Here is a 19,658-nt window from a genome sequence, read left to right as displayed (position 1 = left end):
CTTGAGTAACTGAGACCACAGATGCTCACCACCATGTCTGGCTAATTTTTTTGTATTTTGGTAGAGATGGGGTTTCACCATGTTGCCCAGACTGGTCTCGAACTCCTGAGCTCAAGCCATCCATTTGCCTCGGCTCCGCAAAATGCTGGGATTACAGGCATGAGCCATCATGCCTGGCTGTTTTGTTTTGATTTATTTTATTTTGAGACAGAGTCTCACTCTGTCGCCCAGGCTGGAGTGCAATGGCATAATCTCAGCTCACTGCAACCTCTGTCTCCTGGGTTCAAGTGATTCTCCTGCCTCAGCCTCTTAAGTAGCTGGGATCACAGGCATGTGCCACTATACCCGGCTAATTTTTGTATTTTTAGTAGAGATGGGGTTTTGCCCTGTTGGCCAGGCTAAGCCACCGCGCCTGGCCTGTTTTGTTTTTTAAGACAAGTGATCCCATAATGATTCTAACGACTTCAACACTATGTTCGCTCATTCTCCTTTTCTGTGTCTTGAATGGTTTGCTTCCAAAATTTCCCCCTCTGGGCCAGGCACCGTAGCTCATGCCTTTAATCCCAGCACTTTGGGAGGTGGAGGCGGGTAGTTTGCTTGAGATCAGGAGTTCGAGACCAGCCTGGCCAACATGGTGAAACCCCGTTTCTACTGAAATACAAAAATTAGCTGGGCTTGGTGGTGAGTGCCTGTAATCTCAGCTAACAGGGAGGCTGAGGCAAGATAATTGCTTGAACCCAGGAGGCGAAGGTTGCAGTGAGCCGAGATCGTGCCACTGCATTCCAGCCTCGGCGACAGAGTGAGACTCTGTCTCAAAAAACAACAACAACAATAAAAACACCCCAAATTTACCCCTTTGAATTTCTATTCAACACAAATGCTATTTCTTCCCTGTTTGGGAAATAATCTCTTTGATTATTCTATTATTATTCTGATACTGTGGCTGTACTTCCATTAAAGCTTTTTTCTTTCTCTCTCTCTTTTTTTTTTTTTTCTTTTTTTGAGACAGGGTCTCACTATGTTGTTCAGGCTGGTCTCAAACTCCTGGGCTCAAGCGATCCTCCCACCTCAGCCTCCCAAAATGCTGGAATTACAGGCATGAGCCACTGCACCTGGCCCATTCCCTTAAAGTTTTAACACAATTGTTTTTCATTACAGTATGCCGTATGTATTTTTAATCTGCCCTTCTGATTATGAGCTTCTTGAGGGCAAGACAGTGTCTTATTCCTCTCTGTGTCTTCTCTAGCCCTTACCCTAACACCTTGCATTTGGTAAGCATTCAATATTTGTTCTTTTTTTTTTTTTTTTTTTTTTTGAGACGGAGTCTCTCTGTCACCCAGGCTGGAGTGCAGTGGTGCAATCTCGGCTCACTGCAAGCTCTGCCTCCCCGGTTCACGCCATTCTCCTGCCTCAGCCTCCCAAGTAGCTGGGACTATAGGCACCCGCCACCATGCCCGGCTAATTTTTTTTGTATTTTTAGTAGAGATGGGGTTTCACCGTGTTAGCCAGGATGGTCTTGATCTCTTGACCTTGTGATCCGCCCTCCTCAGCCTCCCAAAGTGCTGGGATTACAGGTGTGAGTCACCACGCCCGGCCAATATTTGTTCTTTTCATTAAAATGAATGGAAAACAATTTCCTTTTTGGCCTCACATAACATTTTGTGTAACATATGTCATATGTTTATTATATCTAAACTAAATATAATGTGATAGTTCAGGACTCAGAAGTCAGTTGAATGTTGTTTGCTGTAAGGCAGAAGATGGAATTTCCTAAAATAATGGTTACAAGTGAATAGAAAATATCGAACAGGTACTCTTAAGAGTTCTCGGGAGTTGGCCAAGCTTGGTGACTCATGCCTGCAATCCCAGCACTTTGGGAGGCCAAGGTGGGTGTATCACTTGAACCCAAGGGTTTGAGACCAGCCTGGGCAGCATAGTGAGACCCTGTCTATTTTTATAAAATTATAAGGGCCAGGCGTGGTGGCTTACGCCTATAATCCCAGCACTTTGGGAGGCCAAGGCGGGTGTATCACTTGAACCCAAGGGTTTGAGACCAGCCTGGGCAGCATAGTGAGACCCTGTCTATTTTTATAAAATTATAAGGGCGAGGCGTGGTGGCTCACGCCTATAATCCCAGCACTTTGGGAGGCCAAGGCGGGTGGACCACGAGGTCAAGAGATTGAGACCATCCTGCCTAACATGGTAAAACCCTGTCTCTACTAAAAATACAAAAAAGTAGCCAGGCGTGATGGGGTGTGCCTGTAGTCCCAGCTACTCAGGAGGCTGAGGCAGGAGAATCCCTTGAACCCGGAAGGCGGAGGAGGCAGTGAGCTGAGATCGTGCCACTGCACTCCAGCCTGGGTGACAGAGCGAGACTCCATCTCAAAAAAAAAAAAAAAAGAAAGAAATACATAATATAATTTAACAATATAAATATAAAATATATATAAATTATAAGTTATAAATATAAAATATATATATTTTTTAAAGAAAGAGTTCTTGGGAGTCAACACAGCATACTACATATGAGTGTGGACTCTAGTTTCTGAGTTCTGGCTCTACTAGCTACTAGATGACCTTGAATATATTCTTTAATGTTTCTGTACCTCAAATTTTCATATGTGGGATGAGGATAGAAAGAAAATCTACCACATAGTTGTGAGGATTAAGTTGGTTACTCTCTGCAAGGCACATCAGATAGTACATGTCACATAAATACCAATAAAGTTACCTTCATTATTAAAATTGGCTATCCAAAAAGAGAAAGCTTCACTTTCTTGTTGTTTTCTAGCGATCATTTAAGTGAAATAATTCCAAAGAATTGATTATCAAACAGCTACTGAACATACTGGTTTGACCAGAACCTGTGGCATCTCTAGGATCATCAGATCTCCTCAAAGATTCATATAAGGACCAGAGAAGAGCTGTCCTGGGAAAGAGCAGTGTCAAATAATCAGGTTCAAACAAGTTTTAATCATCCTTCAGGCTTCAATATCTTTGCAGGGGAGTTGTATGAGAATGGACTTCTAAAGTTTATTCACTGATGTTTATTCAATAAACATTTCTGGGCCGGGCGTGGTGGCTCATGCCTGTAATCCCAGCACTTTGGGAGGCCGAGGCAGGCGGAACATCTGAGGTCGGGAGTTCGAGATCAGCCTGACCAACATGGAGAAACCCTGTCTCTACTAAAAATACAAAATTAGCCAGGTGTGGTAGTGCATGCCTGTACTCCCAGCTACTTGGGAGGGTGAGGCAGGAGAATCTCTTGAACCCGGGAGGCGGAGGTTGCGGTAAGCCGAGATGGCGCCATTGCACTCCAGCCTGGGCAACAAGAGTGAAACTCCATCTCAAAACAAACAAACAACAAAAACAAAAATTTCTGGGTCAGAAATATAGAAATCAAGGACACAGTTCCTGTCTTCGACTAACTCATGAACTAATATAGAAGACAGTCTTGAAGGACTCACCCAGGTGAGAAATGGAAGGAAGCGAGTTCAAGACAGAGAAATCGCAGCCATAAAAAAGAATGAAATAATGTCCTTTGAGGCAACACGGATGCAGCTGGAGGCCATTACCTAAGCAAATTAACACAGAAAAACACAAATACTGCATGTTCTCACTTATAAGTAGGAGCTAAACTTTGAGTACACATGGACATAAAGATGGAAACAACAGACACTGGGGACCCCAAAAGGTGAAGAGGAAGGGCTGAAAACTAATGAGTACTATGCTCACTACCTGGGTGATGGGATCAGTTGTACCCCAAATCTCAGCATCATGCAGTATAGTATACCCATGTAGCAAATCTGAACATCTACCCTCCAAATTATACATATGTGTGTGTGTGTGTGTATGTGTGTATACACACACACACACACACACACACGTATATATATACAGAGAAATAGTCTGAACACACAGAGCATGGAATATTCAGGGAACTTCATTTCAGAATAATTGAACATCGGGTGAGAATAACTGGATACAGCACAGTGGTAAGAAAGGCAGGTGGGAGCAGGATGATGAAGACCTCACATGTGAGGCCTCGTTATCACCTGGCTTCCCTCAGCTTGCATACCTCATGGCTTTGGTCAGGAAAACAAAAAGTACAAAAATACAGGTGAAAGCCAGGCACTGTTGTGTGCACCTGTCACCCAGCTGCTCAGGAGGCCTAGGCAGAAGGATTGCTTGGGTCCAGGAGTTTGAGGCTTCAGTGCCCTGTGATTGGCCTATGAATAGCCACTACACTCTGGCCTTGGCAACAAGGCAAAACCCTGTATATACATATTTAAAAGTGAGGTGGGTAGCCAAACAGCCTCTGTGAAATCAATGTTCTTTGTAAATTAGACCCCAAGTACCTGCTGTTCCTCAGGTATCTTGAGAAACCTAAATTTAGTCCTTCATGAAAGCCAAAAAAAATCAGAATTTCATCTTTAAGGCGAGGGGAAACATGGAAGGGTATTAAGCAGGGTAGAACTGTGAGCAAGTTTGCTTTTCAGAAAGCAGTTTTGAAAGCAGTGTGGAAAAGATATTTGAGGGGTGGCAAACAGAGGCAGAGGTATGCAGAAGAGAACGCATTCTGTCTGGAGATGTTGAGCTTGAGGTAGTGGTGGACATTTGAATGGTTAAGATGTTAAGATCACAGTAAGACATCAGATTCAGTACTTCAAATACAGTTTCCAAGGTATATTCTGTTCTTAGCATACTCTCAGTCCAATTTCCTACAACTACTATGATTATATGTGTGTGGTTGTTAATTCACATTATAGTCTAAGAAGTTTTAACATAGATAATGTCATTTTAGCCTTTTTCCATAATCCTACAAGGCAGAGAGGACAATTATTCTTCCTATTTTGCAGTGAAGAGTTATATAATACCTCTGAGACTGTACATGATTTATTTGCCTAAGATCATAGAGGAATGGGGTGCAGTGGCATGCTCTCAGCTCACTGCAACCTCTGTCTCCTGGGTTCAAGTGATTCTCCTGCCTCAGCCTCAGTAGCTGGGATTACAGGTGTGAGCCACCATGTCTGGCTACAAACCTAGCTTTTCTGATTCAAGATAGTGTTTGTATATAGTACATACCAGTGTACTATATACACTTGTAGTATAACCCATCAGTGTCTGTTTTGCTCCCAGCACTATGTTAGTAAAAACTTTTTAAAAATTAGAACATCAGGTCGGGCCCTTGCCTCTGAGACATAGCAGTATTGGCCGGGCACCATGGCTCACACCTGTAATCCCAGTACTTTGGGAGGCTAAGGCCAGTGGATCACCTGAGACAGGAGTTTGAGACCAGCCTAGGCAACATGGTGAAACCCTGTCTCTACCAAAAAACACAAAAAATCAGCTAGGAATGGTGGCAGGTGCCTGTGGTCTCAGCTATTTGGGAGGGTGAGGTGGGAGGATCCCTTGAACCTGGGAGGTGGAGGTTGCAATGGACCGAGATAGCACCACTGCACTCCAGCCTGGGTGACAGAGTGAGAGAGACCCCGTCACACACACACACACACACACACACACACACACACACACACACACACAGAGCAGTATAGTTTTTTGACAACACTGTACACTGACAATCAGATCTGGCTTCTGGTTCTAATTCTGCCTCTAACCACTTGTGTGATTACATTTTATTAGAAAATAACAGAAACTCAGCCGGGCACTGTGGCTCACGCCTGTAATCCCAGCACTTTGGGAGGCCAAGGTGGGCCGATCACCCGAGGTCGGGAGTTCGAGACTAGTCTGACCAACATGGAGAAACCCCGTCTCTACTAAAAATACAAAATTAGCTGGGCATGGTGGCACATGCCTGTAATCCCAGCTACTCCGGAGGCTGAGGCAGGAGAATTGCTTGAGCCCTGGAGGCAGAGGTTGTGGTGAGCCGAGATCACGCCTTTGTACTCCAGTCTGGGTGACAGACTGAGACTCCATCTCAAAAAAAAAAAAAAGAAAATAACAGAAACTCAACTCAAACAAATCTAAATTGAGAGGGGGATTTATTGGCTCATGAAATCCAAGGAAGGATTGAACAAGCAGGTGTCAAAAATGGCAGGGCTGCTGGCACGGCAGCTCACGCCTGTAATCCCAGCACTTTGGGAGGCCGAGGCGGGCGGATCACCTGAGGTCAGGAGTTCAAGACCAGCCTGGCCAACATGGAGAAACCCCATCTCTACTAAAAACACAAAAATTAGCCAGGCGAGGTGTTGGGCACCTGTAATCCCAGCTACTGGGGAGGCTGAGGCAGGAGAATCACTTGAACCCATGAGATGGAGGTTGCAGTGAGCCGAGATCACAACACTGCACTCCAGCCTGGGCAACAGAGTCAGACTCCATCTCAAAAAGGCACGGCTAGCCTGGGCATGGTGGCTCACGTCTGTCATTCCAGCACCTGAGGAGGCTGAGGTGGGAAGGCTGTAATTCCAGCACTTGCCCAGGAGTTTGAGACCAGCTTGGGCAATATGATGAAACCCTGTCTCCATGAAAAATACAAAACTTAGCTGGGTATGATGGTGTGTGCCTAATGGGAGGATCCATTGAGCCTGGAAGGTTGATGCTACAGTGAGCCATGATCAAGCCACTGCACCCCAGCCTGGGTGACAGAGTGAGACCTTGTCTCAAAAACAAAACAAAACAAAACAAAACAAAAAACAAACAAACAAAAGGCAGGGCTGCAGAGGTGAAACAAGGGGCCCAAACCTTGTTAGGAGTCTTTCCAAGTCTTGTTTCTGTTGTTTTCGGTATGGCAGTTTCACTTTCTCTCATCACTAACCAGCTTTCTCTAAAGGTAGGACATATGTCTGCTGTGTTTCTAAGTTTAGATTTAAAAGGTTTAACCATTGGAGAGAAACCACCTCAATCTCTCACTGTCTGAAAGTACAAAAATCTCAGGGAACCCACTCCCTGGCCCAGCAGAGGGTGGGAACCCAATCTGTGGTTACCAGAGGAATGCATTCCAGAGAGTTCTAGCAAGATCATCACAGGTGCCAATTTTCTTCAGTATTATATGAAAAATATAAATCTTAAATACGGGGGATGATAAAGTTAGGTAGGATAGAAAGCCATTATTCCAGGTAGAGGAAAGGCGCCTTGAGTTAGTGATGTTGTTAGTCTATGAATGAAAAGACAAGTCTGACTGGAGGACAAGGCTGGGTCCTTGTTCCCATAGGAAATAAGCATGAATTGCTAGGGTAGGAAGTGATTATGATGGACCAAAAAGCTAAACATAGAATTTGTTCTACTTGAAGCAGCCATTATAGGTTTCTTGTACAGATTCAACTATGACTTCTGAAATCTCACTTTATAACAAAGAAATCTTGAATCACTTCCTAGAATACTCCTTCCTTTTCTTAATTGAACTTAGGTTAGGGTAGCAGTAGGAATGAAGAATGGGTGAGAGAATTCAGAGAAGGAAAGCTAAAAACACAACACCCAATCTAATCTGGAACCTAGAAGAAGGATAGCACTCTCAAAGACTATTTGACACAAGCATCTTGAAAGCAGGAGCTATGTCTTATTAACATTGCATCTCCAAGAACGTAGCACAGTCAGCAAATACCACATAATAAACTGAGTGACTCTCATAAAATGAGGAAATTAAGAAGATGGCCTCTAAGCCCCTTCCAGCTCCACAAATCTTTGAGTCTATTTCTCATCTTGATCTTAAAAGTCATGAAAGTCCTCAAATATCTACACACAAAAATGATAGGTTGTTAAAAAGGTTAAGATGGGTCGTGTTTGGTGGCTCACGCCTGTAATCCCACCACTTTGGGAGGCAGAGGCTGGTGGATGGCTTGAGCTCAGGAGTTGGAGACCAGCCTGGGTAACATGGTGAAACGCTGTCTCTATAAAAATAAATAAATAAATAAATACACAAATAAAACAAAAAATATGCAAAAGGGCTGCAAATTCTAGTATACTTATGAAAATAGGTATTCAAAAATATATTAAACACATTTTATAAATGATTTTCACCAAGGACTAAAGTGTATTAAAAGTTTACATTCTTCAGGAAATTTAATTAACTAGAATATTCCATTCTCTTTTTTGCAGGGTGGCCAGGGGAGCTTTCTGGTAAGCACCGTAAAGTCTGATGGGCAAATTCTAAAAGAGTTGTAGCACTTAGAATATTCCATTCTGATTGAGAATTTACACTAGTATATTCATTACTATAAACATCAAAATATTAGGGGCAAGTCAACACTTACCAAGATGTCTAAATGGTGAATGTGCAGATGGGATTGGAGATTTCAAGACCTGAGAACTTAAAAAAAAAATATTTCGAACCAGTACGACATCTATATTTCCAATCATTGTTGGGGGGAAAAAGGCATCAATCAGATTTTTTTCACTGTTATAATAACTTTAATTTATCTTGCATTTTACAGAAGTCTATGAACAATTTTAAAAAAGCACCTCCTTATCCCATAGCACGTTTCTCTGATAGTTGTTAAAGTAGGCAAGGAGTATGTCAACAGCTTCAGCATCAGCGTCTTGCAAGGATTTCAGACCAACCAACCACTCTCCAAACAACTTGGCAGCTTTTTTATCTTGTTTTTAATACAATGGTATATCCACTCTAATGGCAAACCTGTCCAGCCACATCTCCACAACATGCTTTGCAAAGTCAGTGATTAGCAAATTAGTTAGCTTTGGCACGGAGCTGTGCTCGCTTGCCAGTGACAACCTGGAAGCGGGTTTTGATACTGGCAACAGAACATCTAGAATGACAAGTTTTGCACTGTAGGAAATAGAGTCGTGTGTCCTTCTGTAGGATTGTGTCTGGTGATTGACATGTGTGACAAGTGACATATTCCTTGATATATCTTCTCAAGACATTTTCTCTATTTCTGTTGGAATCTTTTTTTGATTACAAGTTGATTATTACCATCTATAGAACCACTTGTACCCAATTCAGCCAACGAAAATGCAAGATGTTTGGGCTGACGATGTAATAGTTAATAGGTATCTGTAAAGTTGACAAAAGAAGTTTTCTGCTGAGCATGGTGGCTCACGTCTGTAATCCCAGCACTTTGGGAGGCCGAGGCGGGCAGATCACGAGGTCAGGAGATCAAGACCATCCTGGCTAACACGATGAAACCCCGTCTCTGCTAAAAATACAAAAAATTAGCCGGGGGTAGTGGCGGGTGCCTGTAGTCCCAGCTACTCGGGAGGCTGAGGCAGGAGAATGGTGTGAACCCGGGAGGCGGAGCTTGCAGTGAGCCGAGATCGCGCCACTGCACTCCTGCCTGGGCGGCAGAGCCAGACTCCGTCTCAAAAAAATAAGGAAGTTTTCTTGGTTCCTACTTGTACGACCTGTGGAGGTTTCATGACAAATTTCCTTTTCTCCCCAGCAACCATATCTAGATTCTTTTCCGTCATGATGTTGAACACTCGATTCATTAGCTCCTTATATGTGTAGTCTCTTTCTGAGCCTGCCCAAGCAGGGCCTGATTACTGAATGAGACACCATCATGATTTTTTCTGTCTTCATCTTCTAGAGCTTCATCTTTCTCTAGTATTTCATCCTCATCTGAGAACTTGATCCTCTTTTTCTACTTTTTATTGCCAAGCATAATGTCAAGGTCATCCTCTGGTTCAGCTGATTCTCGAACATTACTTTCAATCTGAAGATCCTTTACACCTTCTTCAGCTTCATCAATATCAAATATCTTTTCAGTTTTTTTCTTTTTTCTTTTGATTAAAGAAGTTCAAGTCATCTCGATCATCAGGAGCATATTTTTTCCTGCTGTCCTCTTCTTCAGCTTCCAAGTCTTTGTCCTCAGTTGGCTCTGGCTCCACTTCTTTTGTTTCTGAAGGCTGAGTTTCCTCTGTTTGGGTATCCCCTTCCTCACCTAACATAAAAGACTTCTTCTCCTTTTTCTTCTGTCTCCCGAGTAGCTGGGATTACAGGCATGTGGCACCACGTCCGGCTAATTTTGTATTTTTAGTAGAGACGGGGGTTTCTCCATGTTAGGCTGGTCTTGAACTCCCGATCTCAGGTGATCCGCCCACCTCGGCCTCCCAAAGTGCTGGAATTACAAGTGTGAGCTGCCATGCCCAGCCCAATCAGATTTTAAGAGCAAGAAAAGTAGGACTGAGAAGAGAATTGTTAACAAAGAAAGAGGAAAAAAGTCTTAGGGAGTAATTTAAAAAAAATATTACAGAGTTCGGGGAAAGGAAAACTGAGTATAAATGGTCTCTACGATAAGGAAGAATTCCACGGTCAGCTCAGCCTATGTGGGCTAGAAATAAAGTGGGTGATGGGCCATTTATTATCATTCATTTATTTTGTTCTAATTTTGCTTTTTGCCTGGGATACTTTTAGACAATTTCTGTGTAAGTTTCCCTTAGAATTTTACCTTGGGAGAAGGTGATTCAAACGTTGAGGCATAAAAACCTTAGAAGGCAGAAAACTCGTTAACCATTAATGATAAAATTTTATTAATATACATCACACATTTTATTTACATTTGTGCTATCACAGAGATTTTTGAGAATTCAGAAGAAATCCTATTTTTGAGAAATACAATAAAACTAATCAAAGATGCAGGATAAAATCATTAGGTGTATATATAAAGAATTTAATTAACATAGGTTTAATTTTTCAAAAATAACATACTCATAATGAATATTTATTGATGCCCATAATGTACTGTTACTGATATCAACATATCACAAATATTCTAGTAATAGCCGAGTACCATGGCTTGCACCTGTAATCCCAGCTACTTGGGAGGGTGAGGCAGGAGGATTGCTTGAGGCCAGGAGTTCAAGACCAGCCTGGGCAACATAGTGAGACCTGGTCCCTAAAAAAATAAAAATAAAAAAATTCTATAATGGGCCGGGCACGGTAGCTCATGCCTGTAATCCCAACACTTTGGGAGGCCAAGGTGGGTGGATCATGAGGTCAGGAGATCGAGACCATTCTGGCCAACACAGTGAAACCCCATCTGTACTAAAAATACAAAAATTAGCTGGGTGTGATGGCGCATGCCTGTAATCCCAGCTACTTGGGAAGCTGAGGCAGGAGAATCGGTTGAACCCAGGAGGTGGAGATTGCAGTGAGCCAAGATTGCACCACTGCACTCCAACCTGGTGACAGAGCAAGACTCTGTCTCAAAGAAAAAAAAATTCTATAATGTTAACAATTTATGGCAAATAGTTTGCAATATATATACATTTTATCATTTAACAATAAAAAATTAAACTAGGTTCCAGATAGGCAAAAGAAAACAAGTTAATGGCAATAAATATTCAGTTTAAAATGAATATTATAATTTTAAGTAAAATAGTTGTGAACGTAAATTACTTAGAATGTATATTTCTAAAGATAAAGTTCTTTGACCTCATTGTAAAAGTAGCTGAATCAGTGATTTATCTCAATCCAATATAATAAAGTACAAACTTAATTTGCCTATGGAAGGTAAAATGTCCAAGGCTAAGACTGCATATTGTTTCCTTACTACTTTTATGAAAGTTCCATTAGAAATGACAGCAACATTTTACCTTTATAGAATATCTGTGTCAAAAAAATATTTTAGTAATGTATAAAATTAAACTCAGGGCTGGGCCAGGTGGCTCACACCTAAAATCCCAGTACTTTGGGAGGCCAAGGTGGGTGGATCATGAGGTCAGGAGTTCAAGACCAGCCTGGCCAACATGGTGAAACCCCGTCTCTGCTAAAAATACAAAAATTAGCCAGGCGTGGTGGCACATGCCTGTAATCCCAGCTACTCGGGAGGCTGAGGCAGGAGAATTGCTTGAACCCAGGAGGTAGAGGTTGCAGTGAGCCGAGATCACGCCACTGCACTCCAGCCTGGGCGAAAGAGCAAGACTCCATCTCAAATAAAAATAAAAATAAAAATAAAGTCAAGTACAGAGAAGGATATAAGAAAATCAACATGTTAATTATGAAGCATGGATATGATACAGTTCTCATATCACACGATATCTTTATTTGGCTTTGCAGGAAAGACACTGAATCATACCCAGGTAGTATATCCCTACTTGGCAGCAATATTTTTTCTTCAAAAAAATGTTTATTCACATTCTGAGAGAATGCAGAAAATAAACAAAAATTTAAAAAATTAAAATTGTATGCTTTGTGATAAAAATACTTGCCATAGAATGTTTATATTTGAATCTTTTAATATAGTTAAATTTTTTTGTTTTCTTTTTACTTTTTTCTTTTTCTTAGAGGCAGGGTCTCACCACATTGCCCAGGCTGGTCTTGACCTCCTGGCCTCAAGCAATCCTCCTGCCTTGGCCTCCCAAAATTTTGGGATTACAGGCATGACCCACTGTGCCTGGCCTATAGTTAAATTTCTATTAAATTTTAAGATATTCTATTAGGAAAATTTCAGAGGGAATGTGGGTAGAAACCACCAAAACTACTATTCTTTATACCATGGCTCTTTGGTATGTAGGTAAGACCTTGTCCCTCTCATTAACAATGATTTATTGCACCAGTGTCAGCTCCTTCAAGTTTTGTCAGCTTGTATTATTTTTCCTGTTTAGTGCAGTTATAGGTCAAATTTCCATTTCTCCATCACCTTTGTTCCCATTACTGTTAAAGGGGATATTGCATTCTGACAAAATATACCAGCGCTAAAGGACTCATAATGCAGCCATGGGATCTAATGATCACCTCTACTTTGTTTTACATACTTTCCTCTTCCTCTGCCATCTCTGGGATAAACAGACCCTAGACCAGGAAATTCCTCAGATGAATCTGAATAATTCCCTTGTAATCAAATTATTTTGACAGAAAAGCACATACACAATCCCTCAGCCTGATGCTGTTCTCCCCTTCTCTCTATAAACCAAGATGCTCCTTGTCTTCAAATGCCAACGAATCATCTGTTTCACAGAACCATTCATAGAGAATCCAATGCCACCTCTCTGCTTACTCCACAGAGTGATTACTTTATGTCTCATTTTTCCAGAGCTGTTTAGTATACCTGGCTTTACACCTTCTTTGAATATATTTGTATCTTTTTCTCATGTTTTCTCTCCTTCACTACATTGCTAATGCTTCAATATTAGATACAAGGGTTGGCCAGGCTCGGTGGCTCATGCCTGTAATCCCAGCACTTTGGGAGGCCAAGGCAGGCGGATCACGAGGTCAAGAGATTGAGACCATCCTGGCTAACACAGTGAAACCCTGTCTGTACTAAAAATACAAAAAATTAGCTGGGTGTGGTGGCAGGCATCTGTAGTCCCAGCTACTCAGGAGGCTGAGGCAGGAGAATCGCTTGAACCCAGGAGGCAGAGGTTGCAGTGAGCTGAGATCACACCACCATGCTCCAGCCTGGTGACAGAGCAAGGCTCCGTCTCAAAAAAGAAAAAAAAAAAAAGAAATTAGACACAAGTTTGTTCTAACCAGGAACAGACTAATATTTGCCTGCAGTCCTATGAATTCAAATGAAACATTTTAATTTTTTCCTAGTTCCAAAATTTCATTCAAATCTATCCCCCGCTTCCAATCCCCCAGAACCAAGGTCCTAGTTCAGGCTGTCATTGTTTCTCACCTGATGACTGCAATAATCTTCTAATTATTTACCTAGCCTTCACTCTCTGACCTCTGACAATCGTCTTTGATTTCTTTCCCAGTTATCTTTCTAAAACACAGTTCTGATGGTGTCACTCCCTAGCCTAAAAGCCTTCCATGGCTCCCACTGCCTACAAAATTAAATCCCTTTGGTATTCAAGGATTTACAACCTAATCCTATCCTCCCTTTGTAATCCCATTTCCAATCACCCTTGCTACTCTATGCTATATGCTATTGTTTTTTGGTTTTTTTTTTCATTTTTTAATTTTTACTGTTTGAGACAAGGTCTTACTCTGCTGCTCAGGCTGGAGTGCAGTGGTACAATCGTAGCACCCCGTAACCTCTAACTCCTGGGCTCAAGCAATCCTCCCACCTCAGCCTTAAAAGTAGCTAGGGCTACAGGCATGTGCCATCACACTCAGCTAATTTTTTTATTTTTCTTTATTTTTAGTCTGAGTCTAGCTCTATTGCCCAGGCTGGAGTGCAGAGGCACAATGTTGGCTCACTGCAACTGCCACCTCCCAGGTTCAAGCCATTCTCCTGCCTCAGCCTCCCGTGTAGCTGGGATTACAGGCACCTGCCACCATGCCTGGCTAATTTTTGTATTTTCAGTAGAGATGGGGTTTCACCATGTTGGCCAGGCTGGTCTCAAACTCCTGACCTCAAGTGATCCACCAGCCTTGGCCTCCCAAAGTGCTGGGATTACAGGCATGAGCCACTGCACCAGCCCCCCACCTAATTTTTTAGAAAATATTTTTGTAGAGTCAGGGTCTTGCCATGTTGCCTAGGCTGGTGTCAAACTACTGACCTCAAGTGATCCTCCCACCTCAGCTTCCCAAAGTGCTGGGATCAAAGGAGTGAGCCACTGCACCTGGTCTCTATGGACTATTGTTTACCAAATACATTTTTGCATATCCCTATCTTCCTTCACTTTCTCTTCCTAAAATGGGCTTCTTCACCTATTCATATTTTGCTCTGTAAAACAATCCAGCTCTACAGGATCACCTCCTAACACCTTTCTTCCTGTTCCTAGTCAAACTTGTCCTCCTTTCTGAGGCATGCTGTTTATGTCTGTTTTACACTTGCCATCTTCTCTATACTCTAGAAGTAGTCCTGTCTTTCTTTATCTCCCCTAAACTGTGAACAACTTGAGAGCATGGGTGATGATTTATTCCTCTTTCTATGGCCACAGCCTAGCAAGTGGAGTGGGAGGAGGAGAGTACCTGTCCCTGCGAAATGAAATTTTTTTTTTTTTTTTTTTTTTAAGATAGGGTCTTACTCTGTTACCCAGGCTGGAATTGCAATGGCACAATCAGGGCTCACCGCAGCCTTGACCTCCCGGGCTTAAATAATCCTCCCGCCTCAGTCCCCCAGTTATCTGGGACTACAGGTGTGGGCCACCATGCCCGGTTAATTTTCTTTTTTTTTTTTTGAGACAGAGTTTCACTCTTGTTGCCCAGGCTGGAGTGCAATGGCGCGATCTCGGCTCACCGCAACCTCTGCCTCCCTGGTTCAAGCAATTCTCCTGCCTCAGCCTCCGAGTAGCTGGGATTACAGGCATGCACCACCCCGCCCGGCTAATTTTGTATTTTTAGTGGAGACGGGGTTTCTCCATGTGGGTCAGGCCGGTCTTGAACTCCCGACCTCAGGTGATCCGCCCGCCTTGGCCTCCCAAAGTGTTGGGGTTACAGGCGTGAGCCACTGTGCCCAGCCCTGCCCGGCTAATTTTGTTCATTTTTTGTAGAGGTGGGATCTCCCTATGTTGCCCAGGCTGTTGTCAAACTCCTGGACTCAAGCCATCCTCCCTCCTCGACCTCCCAAAGTGCTGAGATTATAGGCATGAACTACCACGCCTGAAGGAAAGTATTTCTACTGTTTTAAGGGCATGGGACAATTTCAAGCCTGTTTCTTGGAAGTAGTTCACATTCTTTAATTACAGACATTCACCTGATCATGGCGGGTGTGGTGGCTCACGCCTGTAAACACAGCACTTTGAGAGGCCAAGGCAGGAGAATCACTTCAGCCCAGGAGTTGGAGACCAGCCTGGGCAATATAGCGAGACCCTGTCTCATCTCTCTCTCTCTAGGTATATATAAAAGACATTCACCTGACCTGAGGAGTTCAGAGACCTTATAAACTGCTCTAGCTAGAAGTCAAGTTGGTAACTTGTGAGACACGGAAGTTAAGCGTCTAAATTAACGTTACCAAACTCAAAAATCTATACACTGCATTCATTCTCTACATTTATTCTGTGCAAGCCCTCTAGGTATTAGAATCTAGGAAAAGGAAATTTTACACTTAAGAACACCTGTGCTCCCTTAACATATACCAAAATATTTGATAAATGACACAGTATTTTGAATTTGTAGGTGGCTGGCTTTTCTTTTGCAGACCACACCTGTTAATATCACCTGGCCCTGTCTTGGGATCTACATGTAGTCTTGTCACCACTGGTCAATTGGCACATGGTTTTCCGAACATCAGTCGCCTGGGACAGCTCTGTAATTACTTGTTAATTACTTGAGTCGAATGATTCCGAACTCATGGTAGTTGCTTCGCCTTCATTGATCATTCACCATTTGGTTCTGTGCCAGCAGGATGCCCGGCTGCTTGGTCACAGGCATTGCGCAAGCTGGCACCGGGATCGTGGCCTCTTTAAGTCAACTTCTGGCTGAGGGAATCCGGCGACACTAGCCCGCGGAGAAGAAGGGCTGAAGGTGGAGCAGGGGGACACGCCGCGTCCCACCAGACGTACGCCGCGACGCCTGCTGGTGGATATTACCCGGGACCTCAAAGCGGCCGCCCGCCGATCCTCAGCGCCAAGCCACGGCCGGATGCGCTCAGGGCGGACCCGCGCGGCCCGGCCCCTCAGGGAGCCCGGGTGGGGGCGGGGCTGGGCGGGGCGGGGCGCGGCGCGCGCGGGGCGGGGGCGCGCGGCCTGTGGCGCCGTCACCCGGCAGACTCCGGAGGGTAGAGCGCTGTGCCGGTTCCGCTGCCGCTGGCCAGGAGCGCGGGGACAGTTCGGGGCTGCGCCGGAGGCCGGCCCGCCTTCCCGGGGGTTCCGTTATCATGTCGCTGAGGCAGCGCCTGGCCCAGCTGGTTGGCCGTCTGCAGGACCCGCAGAAAGTGGCCCGTTTCCAGCGGCTGTGCGGGGTGGAAGCGCCGCCGCGCCGCTCAGCAGACCGGAGGGAGGATGAGAAAGCGGAGGCGCCTCTCGCCGGAGACCCTCGACTGCGAGGGCGGCAGCCAGGGGCGCCTGGAGGCCCCCAGCCTCCCGGGAGCGACCGCAATCAGTGCCCGGCCAAGCCGGACGGCGGCGGCGCCCCCAACGGCGTGCGGAACGGGCTGGCGGCCGAGCTGGGCCCGGCCTCGCCGCGGCGCGCGGGCGCTCTGCGCCGCAACTCGCTGACGGGCGAGGAGGGCCAGCTGGCCCGCGTGAGCAACTGGCCGCTCTACTGCCTGTTCTGCTTCGGCACGGAGCTGGGCAACGAACTCTTCTACATCCTGTTCTTCCCCTTCTGGATCTGGAACCTGGACCCTCTGGTGGGCCGGAGGCTCGTGGTCATCTGGGTGCTGGTCATGTACCTGGGCCAGTGCACCAAGGACATCATCCGCTGGCCGAGGCCCGCCTCGCCGCCCGTGGTCAAGTTGGAGGTCTTCTACAACTCTGAGTACAGCATGCCCTCCACCCATGCCATGTCCGGCACCGCCATCCCCATTTCTATGGTCCTCCTCACCTATGGCCGCTGGCAGGTAGGGTTCCTTCTCGTCCTGTTCAGCCTGGGGGAGTTCAAAGAACTCGGAGTTCTCTTTGCTCTCTGCATTTATTTTAATTCGACCGTTCCCCTCCAAAGCCTCTCTTTCCACAGGTTTTCACAATACTCGCAAACAGGCCCTTTCTGGGTTTTGAAAAATTAAGTGATTGGGGGAAACTGGATACTTAGCCGTTGAATTCTATTTTAATATTAAATTCCAATTTAATGCCTTAGAACCCAAAGGACACACTTTTCCTAGAGTAATACATTGTCATTGGGCTTTGGTTGAGTTTTTTAAACGGCTTTAATTCTTGTAATGCACAGTGGAAGTGAATTTTTTAAATAATCGCTATGTAAACTAAGACCCAGTTTCACCGTAATATATGGTGCCTTCTTCCCTAAAACTGTTTCAGAAAGAGGTAAAGTCATTAGCTTTACCGTGAGACAGTGTTTACAAAACGTTAGTGTAATTCCAAAACAAACATGCTAGTTCCAAGCAATGAAGTAATCGATTTTCATCGAAGTTCCCTTTATGGAAGTTAATGGAGCACAGGGTGAGTTCTGTTTTTAAGGGGTGTGGTTGCTACTTTGCTGATAAAGTTTGATTATCTTCTGGATCACTAATCTGTAGTATCTAACAGTTGTTGAGCTACAACTGTAATACTATAGTGTTATTGCCTCATTAACTCTAAAAATGCATGGTTTAAAAGTTATTCTTAAAGATAGGGCTCTTGATCAAACTAGTGGGTTTATAAAAATGGCAAATATGACAGCAGGGTCAGCCTGACAATCAGGAAAATTTTTTTTTTTTTTAACCCTCTCTGAAAACTGCCAAGGGAAGAGTTTTTAATGGTAATCGTTTTTATTTTGCTTACTTCTTTTGGCCTTCCAATGTTTATCTGTCTTTGAACTGTAAGATTTGTTAATCCTGCAGACCAGTCCCTTATTTTAAGAATAAAGTGCGTAATTGTGGAGATTCTAAGGAAACAAACTTCCTCTATTTTTTCCCCCTTTACTTCACAAAATCATTTTACATTGAGAAATACACATTCTGTGTAAAACTCCATTATGATAAGCTTACTTATCCCACATTAAATTTCAGTGTAGATAAAATTTCGTCCCCATGGATACTTCTGTGTAGTGCATCTCTCTTACAGTACATGGAAAATACGCATTGTGCATAGTAAGAATGGCAGAATTAGGAGGAAAGAGTACCATGGGAAGTTTTTTTCTGTTTAACCAAAGGAGCTATACGGTGATGTTCAGATTGTGAAGCAGTGCTACCTGTTTTGCGTAACAGATAAATATCTCGAAGTTTTCATTTAATCTAAATATTTCAGAATTTAAGATTTTCAATGAGCTGTGTTTGGCCTGGTGATGTTAGCTGATGATGTTTCTCTTATTTTCGTGAGACTTTTAGGATTCTGTAACAATAGAGCCTTTTATGATGCCTTCTCAGTGAGTAGCTATTTTGTATGCTATTAGTATTAGCAGTCAAAGTAAGAGAAAATAGCTATTTTTGCTCTTTATTTGTTCTGGACACATACTAACTGGAAGTCTGAAAACAGTACTGCTGAATCGTTTATGGGATATTGATATTCTAACATTTCAGGGTTATTTGAATTATCAGAATAAGCTTAGATTTAGTTTTTAAACAACCTAGTATATTTAACTCAAAGTTTAAGAAATTTGCGTATCATAGAATTTTAGACTTTGAAGTAGACCGGATGTTAGAAATCACTTAGTTTCAAACTGTCATTTTACAGATGTGCAAACTGACCAGTTACATTAAAATTAATCTTGTAATGCTTTAAATTTCTTATTTTACATTTTTTCACTCTAAATTTGCATGATTTTTCGGTTAGTTGTTCTGAAAGAAAGCCTCCTGACGGAGTCTCGCTCTGTTGCCCAGGCTGGAGTGCAGTGGTGCAGTCTCGGCTCACTGCAACCTCTGCCTCCCAGGTTCAAGCAATTCTCTGCCTCAGCCTCCCGAGTAGCTGGGATTACAGGCGCCTACCACCACACCAGCTAATTTTTTAAGGATTTTTAGTAGAGATGTGGTTTCACTGTTTTGGCCAAGCTGGTCTTGAACTCCTGACCTCAGGGGATCCACCCATCTCGGCCTCCCAAAGTGCTGGGATTACAGGCGTGAGCCACTGCGCCTGGCCTAAGCCTCCTTTATATGAAAGTTCTGTGTTTATAAATGTTTGACTAATAATCCAGTACAAAAAACAAGATGGCTTTTTAACCTTTTTCCTTTTTTTTTTCCCTAAGAGTCGGGGTCTCACTATATTGCCTAGGCTGGTCTCGAACTCCTGGGCTCAAGTTATCCTCCCTCCTTGGCCTC

At 43.7% G+C, this 19,658-nt stretch overlaps 1 protein-coding gene and 2 pseudogenes across 1 annotated transcript in view, besides 6 other annotated features; 1 reads left to right on the top strand and 2 right to left on the bottom strand.

Annotated features, from left to right (window-relative positions):
* Positions 8,065 to 8,126, bottom strand: RNU7-116P (RNA, U7 small nuclear 116 pseudogene; annotated as a pseudogene).
* Positions 8,351 to 9,895, bottom strand: EIF2S2P1 (eukaryotic translation initiation factor 2 subunit 2 beta pseudogene 1; annotated as a pseudogene).
* Positions 16,014 to 16,203: an enhancer, noted in NCBI's record as "active region_8516". NCBI's record gives its function as "activates an Ori minimal core promoter by ATAC-STARR-seq in GM12878 lymphoblastoid cells {active_cell/tissue: GM12878}" and the evidence as "EXISTENCE:reporter gene assay evidence [ECO:0000049][PMID:35858748]".
* Positions 16,414 to 16,513: a silencer, noted in NCBI's record as "silent region_5830". NCBI's record gives its function as "represses an Ori minimal core promoter by ATAC-STARR-seq in GM12878 lymphoblastoid cells {active_cell/tissue: GM12878}" and the evidence as "EXISTENCE:reporter gene assay evidence [ECO:0000049][PMID:35858748]".
* The window catches only part of SGPP1 (sphingosine-1-phosphate phosphatase 1), a 43,850-nt gene continuing 40,696 nt past the window's right edge, over positions 16,505 to 19,658 (top strand). Inside the window, exon 1 of the mRNA NM_030791.4 lies at positions 16,505 to 17,309. Within this exon, the coding sequence (NP_110418.1) occupies positions 16,626 to 17,309 (684 nt within the window). The 5' untranslated portion in view covers positions 16,505 to 16,625. The remainder of the gene's footprint in view (positions 17,310 to 19,658) is intronic.
* Positions 16,804 to 16,903: a silencer, noted in NCBI's record as "silent region_5829". NCBI's record gives its function as "represses an Ori minimal core promoter by ATAC-STARR-seq in GM12878 lymphoblastoid cells {active_cell/tissue: GM12878}" and the evidence as "EXISTENCE:reporter gene assay evidence [ECO:0000049][PMID:35858748]".
* Positions 16,804 to 17,359: a biological region, named in NCBI's record as "H3K27ac hESC enhancer GRCh37_chr14:64193929-64194430".
* Positions 16,858 to 17,359: an enhancer, noted in NCBI's record as "H3K27ac hESC enhancer chr14:64193929-64194430 (GRCh37/hg19 assembly coordinates)". NCBI's record gives its function as "activates a minimal SCP1, AML or CMV promoter by ChIP-STARR-seq in naive H9 embryonic stem cells {active_cell/tissue: H9 hESC(naive)}" and the evidence as "EXISTENCE:reporter gene assay evidence [ECO:0000049][PMID:30033119]".
* Positions 17,164 to 17,213: an enhancer, noted in NCBI's record as "active region_8515". NCBI's record gives its function as "activates an Ori minimal core promoter by ATAC-STARR-seq in GM12878 lymphoblastoid cells {active_cell/tissue: GM12878}" and the evidence as "EXISTENCE:reporter gene assay evidence [ECO:0000049][PMID:35858748]".

Source organism: Homo sapiens, chromosome 14 (genome assembly GCF_000001405.40).
Source record: "Homo sapiens chromosome 14, GRCh38.p14 Primary Assembly".
NCBI lineage: Eukaryota > Metazoa > Chordata > Mammalia > Primates > Hominidae > Homo > Homo sapiens.
Note: the sequence above shows the minus strand (reverse complement) of the source record. Positions and strands in the feature narration are given on the sequence as shown.